The 12,541-nt window shown below is 41.2% G+C and overlaps 1 protein-coding gene across 31 annotated transcripts in view; it reads right to left on the reverse strand.

Moving 5' to 3' along the window:
* Positions 1-12,541, reverse strand: part of SH3KBP1 (SH3 domain containing kinase binding protein 1) — a 353,624-nt gene that overhangs the window by 14,806 nt on the left and 326,277 nt on the right. For all 31 annotated transcript variants that reach the window (NM_001353890.2, NM_031892.3, NM_001353892.2 and 28 more), the window contains one exon: positions 1,192-1,301. In NM_001353890.2, the coding sequence (NP_001340819.1) occupies positions 1,192-1,301 (110 nt within the window). The remainder of the gene's footprint in view (positions 1-1,191; positions 1,302-12,541) is intronic.

A 12,541-nucleotide genomic window follows, 5' to 3' on the forward strand; every position in this document is an offset into this window, starting at 1 on the left:
ACTTAGACTCACTGGAACAAGGCAATGTGCTATATGGAAATAAAGAGAGAGAGAGAGAGAGAGAAATCGAACTTATACACAAACACAACTTGTGGAAGGTGAGCTTGGAGGGGACAGAACAACCTGTGGCAAAAGCAAACCATACATTTCCTTTTGACCCACTTCCAGAAAATTTTTACCCAAGTCAATAATTTTAGAGCAGCATCAAGATTTTTCTGCAGTGGCATTCATTTGAGTGTTGTTTATAATGAGGAACTGGAAACAACATAAATGCCCAATAACGATACATTGGCTAAACGCTCACATACTCATAGGTTAGAAAAATGGGCAGCCATGAAATGTGATGTCAGGGAAGAATGTGTCATGACTGGGGAGAAAGGCACACAACAGAAGAGGAGAAAAGCAAGTTTCACAACGATGCGTACTACGTAATCCTATTGGTGAAGAAATAATTTTATATATACAAATAATTTTTTTTTAAAAAGCTAAGGCTGTATAACAAAAAGTTAACGGTTCTTTGCACTGGGGAGCAGGATTACAGATAACTTTCTTCTTTATACATTTTGTAGTTCAAATTTGGTACAATAAACGTGTAATAGGTTTGCAATAAAAAGTCATTCAAAACAACCCAAACAAAAATCTTCTATGGGTTATCCTGAGTGTTCCAATCAGTCTCTCCTTCATCACCAGGTGCCTCATATGTTTGAAAACAATCTCCTGAAGGTCTGCGTGGTATTCTGTGGAGGGGTACAGGCAACGGGGATTTGAGAGAGAAAGGTTCGGCTGCTGCCTGGCGCTATATAGGAGCAGATCTTTATTTAGTAAAGTTTTGTTTTGTTTACACACCAAACCAGCCTCATTCTCCTCTCCCCACCCATAAAACGTGATTTTTTTTCTTACCCATTTCATTTCAGGTTAAAATAAGAATCAGTCTGGAAGGAAAGAAAAGGAAAGTGGGAATACAGAGCACCTACCTTGCTGGCAGAAACACAAAGAACAAATAGAAAGAAATGCCGCTCAAGTCAAGAAGACTGAAATCACTTTTGGTTGGCAGTGTATCTCATGGCCTCCCTCTCCCAGGGTGTCCTCAAATCGGCTGCTTGCAGAAGAGTCCTTAGCTAGAGTTTCTAATCTGTCCTGCTTTTCCGCTGTAGAGAAGTAAGGGAACATACAGTTTGAGGAGACACTTACAGATGTGAGGGACTGGGACGGAGGCCGCCTCCCTGTAGCTTTTGGTCTGCTTGTGGTCGGATGACTGAGTTTCTCAGTAGATGATACCACGGAGTCAAAACCTTCTAAGTCTAAAACAAAAGTAAAACAGTTTTAAGAGCCAAAATAGGAGCAAAGACTCTTATGATATGTCATAAGCACCTCTCTTCCTCAATAATAATCCTTTCTGTCTGGATTACACTTCATCTTTTACAAAGGCTGTTTACGTCCTTTGGTCATTCAATAAACAGGATTCAAACTGAATAGAATAATCATGTCCTTCTTAGTTTAACAAGCTATTGCATGGAAGAGAGAGAAACAGGATTTTTCTTTTTCCCTTCTACAGCTATATCCATAAATCTTTAAAAAGCTACATAAAGAGGATTAGAGGAAGAATCCTCTTTTTTCCACAAATCCAAGTCCATTTTAGTAGACAGAACACTCTGGCAGTCTCGACACAAAAGGCAGTTATTACAAGGTACAACAGCCACAAGCGAGTGGATGCCGGTCATTGATTCCAAAAGACAAGAAGAGATGGCAGTCCTGCTCCTCTGCACTTGTGACTGGTCTAGAGGCAGCTATGTAGTCCAATTTGAGTTACTGAGCAATATAGGGCAGTATACTGACAGCCTGTGGGAAACACATATCTCTCTCTGTCCAGAGAGAGGCAAGTGAGAAGGCCTTTTGTGTTGCTGTTCCTCTTCTTTCCTGCTTGGGATGCTACTGTGTAAGGACAGGATGACTGGAGCTGTGGCAGCCATCTGGTGACCATGTGGCCATCTAGTCACAGGATGGCAAGGCAGAAAAATGGAAAATGTTAACTGACAACCCCGATGGGCTGCAACCCTGGGATGATCTAGTGCCCAGACTTCTTGCCATGTGAAATTAACAAACCCCTGTTATTTCAGCCAGTTTTAATCAGATATTCTTTATTTGCAGCTAAAAACATCCTAACTGCCATAACTGCAGCTATACTGGTCCAGGACAGAGAAGTTAAAAAAAATGATGTGCATTTCCCCTCACTTTATTTTGGGGAGAATTCTTTTGCTGATGGTTATAATAAGTGGTCTGGCTGTATGACAGCTTTATTCTATTAATGAACAGGCAGGTGTTATCTGCAAACTATTTTCTTTAGTAGAATATGCAAAATCAAGCACAAGTCACTGGTCAGGAGAAGCCATTAAATTACACCTGGGATTACATTAAGTGACATTATCCTAGCACCTGATGATAACTCCTCTTATCAGGGCAAGGCAGGTATAACGAAAGGTTAACCATCCGCAGAGATGGCACAAAGGAAAACATCAGTGGCGCTCTGAAGCCAAGAGGGAGCCCATCAGCATCCAGTACCTGAATGAGGCTCATAAAGGCACCCATCTCTCTAGCTGGGCTCAGCAGGGTGCCAGGAGGACCCTGGCCAGGGGGAGGGCAAAGATTCCCCCTGCTAGAATGTGCTTCTCCAGTCCTGGCTCACTAAGCTGACCCCTCTCAGGGGCCTTCCCTTTAAGAGAACCTTATTATTATTATTATTTTCTTTCTTTTCTTTCCCTCCCTCCCTCTTTTTTTTTTTTTTGACAGGGTCTTGCTCTGTCTCCCAGGCTGGAGGGCAGTGGCACAATCTTGGCTCACTGTAGCCTCAACCTCCTGGACTCAGGTGATTCTTCCATCTCAGCCTCCCTACAGGCACGCAACACCACACCTGGCTAATTTTTGTAGAAACGGGGTTTTGACATGTTGCCCAGGCTGGAGAAACTTATTTTCTTAAAAGGTTCTCCTCCAGACTCTACCCTGGGACTCTCCTCTACTGAGTCCATGTTGTCTAAAATGAAAATTCCCCATTACACACTTGGATGGATGCAAAAAGCCACCATCTGACATGAACACCCCCCCAATTCATCTTTTTAAATCACTTTCCCCTGATGATAAATGTAATACATGATCAGCGTATAATTTTTAAAAAACAAAACACGAAATTGTAACAACGAAAAGAAAGTCAGCTATAATCTTACCACATCAAGACAAGCACTGTTAGTATTTTGGTACATTCTCCTCCAGGCTTCTTTTCCTGTAGATAGTATAGCTCATACTATATGTAATACTGCATTCTGCTTATTTCCCTTAACCGGATATGCCATGTCTCTAACAATTCTTTGTAAATATTTTAATTGTTGTTGCACTGCAATTAATCAATCCCATTTGTTGGATAGCTAGTTTCCAAATCATTTCCCCCTCCTATGTTTTACTGTTTTGGAAGAGCGCCGCACAAATATCCTTGCATGTACTCTACATATAATGAGTTCAGCAGCTTATCCGTGCAGATCTCCAACTGTTCTGGAAGAAGGAAATAAGGCCCAGGACAGGGAGGTTTGTTGGGGGCCGGGCGGGGTGCTGGTTGGGGAGGACAGAGGCATAACGAGGGGCAGAGGAAGGCTCGGGAAGAGGAGAGAGGACAAAAACCCAAGGAGCAGATGCTGACTGGCAGCCAGTGAAGGAGATGGAAGAGGGGGCTGTTAAAGTTTCCAGCAAACAGACAGCTGCCAACGGCCTTGGCTGGTAGCTACCAGGGGCAGAGCTGGACAAACCTATATTATGGCTCTGTCCAGGAAACTAAAACAAGCTCAGGAGCAAAAACTGAACAGGATGAAGTGACTAAAGAACAACGAAAGGCTAATTAACACTGCTTCTCCAACTCAGCTGCACGGAGGAATCACCTGGACAATTTAAAAAAACAAAACACCACTGCATCCCAGGAACTGACTCACCCCATCTAGGGTGCATCCTGGGCACAAGCAGATGTCAATCTCCCCAGGGGATGTGAACATGCGGCAAAAGCTGAGAAGCACTGCTCTAGAGGAGGCTGGGGGCTGAGGGGAGGGAAGGGAGTGAGGATTTGGCCAAGCGGAGGAGTGGAGAGGCCACCAAGTGACTGAAGGGTGTTCCAGGGCCCAGTGAATAGAGAGCCTGCCTGGGCTCTCTAACAGTGGGTCCTCCCATGCTGGGCTGAGGAGTGCTGGCCCGATTTGGAGGGCCACAGAGGTGCTGGAGCACTTGACGAAAATGGTGGCCAAAGGCTCGAATGATTGGTGACAGGTCAGACACACTGCAGCTGGAGCCAGGAAGAGGCCCGAGATGTGACCCAGCATAACAGTGGGGTGGGAGAGGAATGCAGAGAGCCAGGGGAGGGGATGGGACAGCTTTGGGCCCCTCTTAGGATGGACTTGGTAAGTCCACTTGTGTGCAGGGGTGGACAAGTTAACACCAGGAAACTTCTGCCAGGACTCCAGGGAGGATTCCATCTTTGCCATCCCCCGACCCTCCTGGGCCCACTGAATTAAGTCCACCTGGCAGTTTAGGATTTCAGAATGTGTGAGGTGGCAGTCTGTAATGAGTTATACTTTTAAAACAACCCAGAAGTGTGATGTCTGTCTCCCGCACTTAGGCTGTGAGCCCCAGGAGGGCAGGAACTCATCCTTGTGTTCTCAAAGTCTAGAATGTTCCTAGGGAAAACATGCTGGTTCCTCTGTCAATAAAGGAACAAGCGAACAAATGAACAAACTATCTCAAGAAAAAAACCAGGAATGTAGCTTATAGAAGTGGCTCCTAGCGGGATGTGAGTAGCTTCGAGGCTGAAGAAGCATTCTCTGCTATGGATGCAGAGAAGGCAGAATGGCCCATTCTGTTTTACTGGTTGAGGTTTGCACTAAGAAGACCTATGCACAGTGAAGCCTGGCCACGCTTAGCAAGAGTCTCCAGGACATATGGCAGAGAAGACTGCTCTATTTCTGTCACTCATGAGTAAGAGGAAGGTCCGAATACCTCAGGGGAAGCCACTCTTAACCTCTTAATGCATATATATATATTATATATATTAAAATATATGTTAATATATAATATATATTATATATTATATATATAAAATATTATATATAATATTAAAATATATAATATATAATATATATTAAAATATAATATATAATATATATTAAAATATAATATATAATATATATTAAAATATAATATATAATATATATTAAAATATAATATATAATATATATTAAAATATATTATATATATTAAAATACATTATATATATTAAAATATAATATTATATATCATATTAAAATATAATATTATATATCATATTAAAATATATTATATATCATATTAAAATATAATATATATCATATTAAAATATAATATTATATATCATATTAAAATATAATATTATATATCATATTAAAATATATTATATATATTAAAATATATTATATATATTAAAATATATATCATATTAAAATATATTATATATCATATTAAAATATACATCATATTAAAATATAATATTATATATCATATTAATATATTATATATCATATTAAAATATAATATATATCATATTAAAATATGATATATATTATATATTTTTTTGAGACAGAGTCTTGCTCTGTCCCTCAGTCTGCAGTGCAGTGGTACAATCGCGGCTCACTGCAACCTCTGCCTCCCGGGTTCAAGCAATTCTCCTGCCTCAGCCTCCCGAGGAGCTTGGATTACAGGCACGCGCCACCACACCTGGCTAATTTTTGTATTTTTAGTAGAGACGGGGTTTCACCATGTTGGCCGGGCTGGTCTCGAACTCCTGACCTCAGGTGATCCACCCACCTCGGCCTCCCAAAGTGCTGGGATTACAGGCGTGAGCCACTACACCCAGCTTAATGCACATTTCTGCTAAGTTTAACTTTCCATAGTTTTAGTTTGGAAAGAGCACTTTTTGGAAACAGCTACCAAACCAAACTGCCATACAGAAAAAAAATGTATCAAATATGAGATTGCTTGCTGAAAAGGGAACCTCAGGTTACCCTGGCATTTTTCCATAGACCATGAACTGTAATGCATTTCTGCTTTCTGACAGTGAAGGGGAGAAATTCTCCAATACTGTCACATCACTTTTCAGAGGCACAGAGCGCATGCTTCATGGCTGTGGCCATGGTAGCTGCGATTAAGGCAGAATTTCCATGACTAACCCATTGTGGTGTGGAGAAAATGTCCCAGTTTTCATGGTGGTTTTGAAATGAATCAAGCTGAAACTTGATATGAGCTTTCTCGGCCTGGCTGGGAATTTTTCCTCTTAAGAGAAAAAGGTTTTAATGCCCATAAGTCAGTCCAAAACTATTGAACTGGCAAATGCTGGGGTATTTTTAAGAAGTTAGTTTCATAAGGACGAGAGGCCCTTTGCTTTTGTGATACTTGGACAACAAACTCTCTGCAGACATACGGGGATAATTCATGTTGGGCACGATGGAGTTGGCTTGGAAAGGGCCTTTGACTCTTCATGGCACATGAAGTTGCTCATTTTCCATGAACTTCAGTCACACTCTATTTGGTTCAATTAGAAAATGTAGCCTCATTTTCCATGGATAGGAGCAATGGTACCAGTGACCGCAGGTGACGTAAAGCACATCCACTGAAAGCACAGAGGAGAAACAGTCAAAAGGCTAAGTCAGGCTAGCTGTCACCAGCAGAGTTCTTTGGGAGCTCCTAAATTGTTCTCTGCATTCATTATAGCATGTTGCTGTGCACTTTAAACAGAGCTTTAGGATATAAGTTTGCTTACAGCTAAAACCTGGCAATGTCGCTACCTCCCAATATCTCTGGAAGCCATCTCTTCTCCTCCACACCCTGTCTCAGATTATTAAGGCCGCTGAATTTCTTGCCTGGAACCACTGTTAATAGATTTCTCACTTCAAGCCCCTTACCACTCACATGCTGCCACCAGAGAGGTGTACAGCCCCCATCTGAGTATGTCCCTTCAGGGCTTCCTCTCCTGACTAATTCCTTCAGTGCCACAACTGAGGCGTCTTCCAAGAAGCCAGACTGCACCCTAAGACCTGGGTTGGGTGCATCCCTACTCACCCATCATCGTGATCTCGGCATTTAGTGCCCTGTACTGACATTTCCTGTTGACTTCTCTGCCTCCCCCACCAGCCAGGGAAGAAGCTATGGCTTTTCTCTCTGTTTCCCTGGACTTAAGATCACTCCTGGCTTGCAGCGAGTGTTCAAAAAATGATTATTAAATACATTAACAAACAACCTTTCTAGGCTTCAGATTTTCCAGCAGGAAAAAAATGAGAGAATTATCTGAGCCATCAGCTTCATAAGATTATTCTTTCGTAAATGAGAGACTATGTGAAAACCCTTTCAAATCATGCAGATAGAATTCTGTTTTCATACACCATTAACGGAGCTGTGGGATTTGGAAACAAGAATCTAAGAGCAAGGCTAGAAATCCCCCCTCCCCTACCTTTTTTTTTTTTTCCAAGGTCTAAGATGAGAAAACTCTAAACCCACAGGGCCGCAGGTACTTTCTCCGCATTGCAGAAACACCATGAGGTAGTCTGAATGGGAGGAGGAAGTCTCGCTCCATGCCTCAGTCATTTGACTAGTGTGGAAAATCTGTGCAGACTATCAAGATGGGCCCAATATTAGGGAGGGGTCAAATGAGCACCTGTGTTAGCTGACTCACTAACTGAAATGATTAGCAATGATTAGATTCTGCAGGAAAATAAGCCCTCCAAAATGTGTAAGGATATAGGAGATCAGCTGTTGTGTTTTCATTTATAATCCAGGTGTGAAGTTTGCAGGACGCAAGCTGCTGAGAATAAATAAGTTTTAGGGGGTTTTGGTTTTTCTTTTTTTTAGAGACAGGGTCTCGTTCTGTCACCCAGTCTGGAGTGCATGCAGTGGTGTGATCATAGCTCATGGTATTATAGCTTCAAGCTCCTGGGCTCAAGCAACCCTCCTGCCTCAGCCTCCCAATTAGCTAGCTACCACACCCAGTTATTTTTTGTTTTGTCTTATTTTTTGGTAGAGATGAGATCTTGCTATGTTGCCCAGGCTGATCTCATACTCCTGGCCTCAAGCAATCCTCCTGCCTCAGCTTCCCAAAGTGCTAGGACTACAGACATGAGCCACCATGCCTTGCTATAAACAAGTTTTGAGCTACTGTTTTGAACTCCATGTGCCAGCCATGCCATTACTAGATGCTTCGCATGCACACACCCTCATTTCATGTACACAAAACCCCATGCTGTGTGGGCATTACTATAATCCACAAAGAAAGAGATGGAGGGCCAGAGGTTAGAAAACATGCCCAAGGTCACTGCCAACAAGTAACAGGGCCCACACACAGATTCACATCCAAGGGATTCTTTCCACTACAGAACGTTGCTTGTTTTTTTTCTATTTTATTCAAATGTGTTTTCAAATGGGCAGGAAAAGGGGCTGGCTTCTTCAAGGCACTCTGTGGCAAGAAATGTAATGTGTTAGGCAAGTTAAGAGAATGTTTGGCTATTTGGTACAAGCAACTTCTACATCAAAACGTGTAGCTCAAGAATAAGAGAGGGAGATACAGTGTTTATTTGCTCATTAATTCAATCAAACATTTCTTAAGTATTTACTTTGTGCCAAGCATAGGGATAGTTTTGAAAATGAATGTACAATCATCCTATATCAGCACTGTCCAGTAGAACTTGCTGTGATGATCTTCTATAATCTATACTATTCAAATCGTAGCCACCAGCCCCACGTGGCTACAGAGTGCATAGATTATGGGTAAGTATAGCTATTTAATTAAATTTTAATAGTCACACATGGCTAGTGGCAATGAAGATTGTGTATTATGATCCTGCATCTTGATATTTCCCCTCACTTAAACGCTCAGCCCATTCATTCAGTGGCTATTTTTCTGAGCATACACTATGAGCTAGGCACTGGGCTAGGCAAAGGGGGATACAGGGGTGGAAAATAGCCACATTCCCTGCCCACATGGAGCTAAGAACCCACTGAGGGAGACAGGCTTTTGTATGGATAATTACAAATTCTCTTAGTTACTATGAAAGAATGATAAAAGGTGAAATTAGCAATGATAGCATGGGGACCCAATTTAGATCAGAGAAAGGGGGGACACGTCTTACTGTAGTCTTGCTTCGAGGAGAGGTAGTGATTCACTTGGATTGATGACAAGCAATGCTAAGTGGGGAAAAGTAGCTCTCCACATTTGCATTCCTTTAAAAATTGCTCACTACAGGCCCAAATTTGCTATGCAAAGTGATCTGATAAATAATGTAATTCTCTATTGGAAACAGTAGTTACACTATTATCCACAGGAACATAAATTGGCACAACCTTTCTGTATGCCATTTGGCAATACCTATTACAAAATGTAAATGTGTACACCTTCAGATATATCAGTGTCACTTCTAGAAATTAATCCATAGAAATGTTTGTGTAAGTATAAAATGATATATTTATGAAGCCAGTGTACTTGCTAAAATAATTTTGGAAACCCTTGTATATCCTCCTCACACATATCAAGTTGAAATCTAAACTTTTATGTAAGTTTTACTCACAAAGGATGTAATTTCTGTTATATTCTAAACATTGAGATTTTAAAATATAACTTACATAGATTTCTTAAATATATCCAATATATATTTGAATACTGCAGCAATTTAACCACCACCATCATCCATTTTAAAATATCATAAGATTTTAACAGTTGGAAATTTTACATCCTTCCTTTTCCTCCTTAAATTCATATTTCCAACCCCTACTGCTGAATTTTATCCTAATCCATTTTCAAGTCTGTTGTTAACTATTTTATCATCTTTCTATTGTAAAAACATGTATAGAAATTGAAGTTTAAGATTTTTTCTTTCCTGAAATCTTAAGACTCTAAGTGTAAAAATTATTTTTCTTTTGGATTGAGTTCTCATTACATTATTATTAGTATACAAATGATCAGAACACATTTTGATAAATAATTTTTAAGCATGACAAAACAGAATTTTATTGGGCTTTTCCCTCAAACACTTCATGTGTGTATGATTATCACTCAATACCAGGAAGAGATGGTTTGGTATCAACTCTCTATTTTTCATTTTAGAGACGTAAGTGCCAAGAAAATTTGTTCACTTAAATAGAAGTAGATGGAATGGAGGCTGGGTGTGGTGGCTCATGCCTGTAATCCCAGCACATTGGGAGGTCGAGGCGGGTGGATCACTTGAGGTCAGGAGCTCAAGATCAGCCTGGCCAACATGGTGAAACCCCGTCTCTACTAAAAATACAAAAAACATTTAGCTGGGTGTGGTGGCCCATGCCTGTAATCCCAGCTACTCTGGAGGCTGAGACAGGAGAATCGCTTGAACCCGGGAGGTGGAGGTTGCAGTGAGCTGAGATGGCGTCACTGCACTCCAGTCTGGGTGACAGAGTGAGACTCTGTCTCACCAAAAAAAAAAAAAAAAAAAAAAAAAGTAGATTAAATGGAAACAATTTTTTTTTTTCTTTTTGAGATGGAGTCTCACTCTTTCACCCAGGCTGGAGTGCAGTGGCACCAGTGGCACGATCTTGGCTCACTGCAACCTCCGCCTCCCGGGTTCAAGCGATTCTCCTGTCTCAGCCTCCAGAGTAGCTGGGATTACAGGCATGGGCCACCACACCCACCTAAAAGTTTTTTGTATCTTTAGTAGAGACGGGATTTCACCATATTGGCCAGGCTAGTCTCAAACTCCTGACCTCGTGATCCACCTGCCTCGGCCTCCCAAAATGCTGGGATTACAGGTGTGAGCCACTGCGCCCGGCCAGAACGGAAATAATTTTGTTATCAATGTCACTCAATTCTCTGAACTCCTTGCAAATTATATACCAAAAACCAGACCGTAGTCTAGCATCACCAGGAATTATTATTTTTAATGGTCTACCACCAAACAACTTAGTGGGTACCTCCTTCAATGTCACTGGAAGCAAAGAATTACTAACCAACTGATTTGAAAATAGAACTTGCAACCTGGAACTTGCATCTATGTCAGGGTTTTCTCTAGGATCTCAAACTTATTTAGGAGGGCAAACATCCTACTCTTTTACATTTCCCCGTAATAACTTGGGTTAAAAAAATCAAAATAATTCTTTTAAAAGATGAATGAGTACTTTTTAAAACTTTACAAAAAGGTATGCTCATGAGCCAGGTGCAGTAGCATGCCTATAAGTCGCAGCTACTCAGGAGGCTAAGGTGGGAGAATCACTTGAGCCCAGGAGTTCAAGTCTAGCCTGGGCAACATAGCAACACCCCATCACTAAAAATAAAAAAAAAAATAGTTATGTTCATAACCCCTTAACAATTTCTTAAATCTCCATATAGCCAGCAAATCATTTAAAAGCAAAAAATCATTAAGCCAAAAAAAAAACCCCTAGATTAGATCTTATAAAGGGCCAAATTATCAATTCTAGATTAAAAGAACTGACAGAACTAAAGAAAATGAAGTAAAGAGACAAAGGAAAGAATAAGCTGCTTCATTTCAAAGAGGATTCAGAGGCTACCAAAACAGCAGTTTTCTCAATGTCTAGAAAACTCAGCTAAAAGAAATGGACAGGGTTAGAGAAACATAGACTGTGACACTGCGCTGGGTCCTTTCTTTTTAATATTTTTTGTAGAGACAGAGTATTTCCCTATATTGCCCAGGCTGGTCTCGAACTGCTGGCCTCAAGTGATCCCTCCTGCCTCCCAAAGTGCTGGGATTACAGGAATGAGACCCCATGCACTGCCTGAATTGGGTTATTTATGATCATGTCATCCAAGCCCCTGGATTAATGATGAAAAACCAAGATCCAAGGAGGTACAATGGTGTGCTTGATGGTCAGCTTCAGTGGGATGAGCAGCCAGAGCAGAGTGCACATTTCTTTTTGGAGAGCAAGATGTATGGGTCATTTCATCTTCTTTAACAGCACTTTATTTAGATATAAGAGGAGCAGGGCCAGGTGCAATGACTCATGCCTGTAATCCCAGCACTTTGGGAAGCGAGGTGGGAGGATTGCTTGAGCCTAGCAGTTTGTGACCAGCCTGTGCAACACAGTGAGATGCATTTTTACAAAAAATAAAAAATTAGCTGGGCATGGTGGTGCACACCTGTGGTCCCTGCTACTTGGGAGGCTGAGGTAGGAGGACTGCTTGAGCCTGGGAGGTTGAGCATGCAGTGAGCTGTGACTGTGCCACTGCACTCCAGCCTGGGCAACAGAGCAAGACCCTGTCTAAAAAAAAAAAAAAAAAAAAAAGAGCAGTCTGATACTCATAATATAGAATTTTAATGCATATGTGAGACAATAATATTCTAATGTCCAGAATTACATGGAAGCCAAAATTACACTTACTACAAAATTTGAGGAGGAAAAACCTTCTGTCTCAAAGCCTAGTATGCTTTTTACTACCCTAGGAGAGACAAGAGTCCCCCAAAACTGCTAGAAAGGGCTGGCAGGCTCTCATTCACCAGCCTGGGTAACTTGA

This window comes from Homo sapiens, chromosome X (genome assembly GCF_000001405.40).
Source record: "Homo sapiens chromosome X, GRCh38.p14 Primary Assembly".
In the NCBI taxonomy this organism is placed as follows: Eukaryota; Metazoa; Chordata; class Mammalia; order Primates; family Hominidae; genus Homo; species Homo sapiens.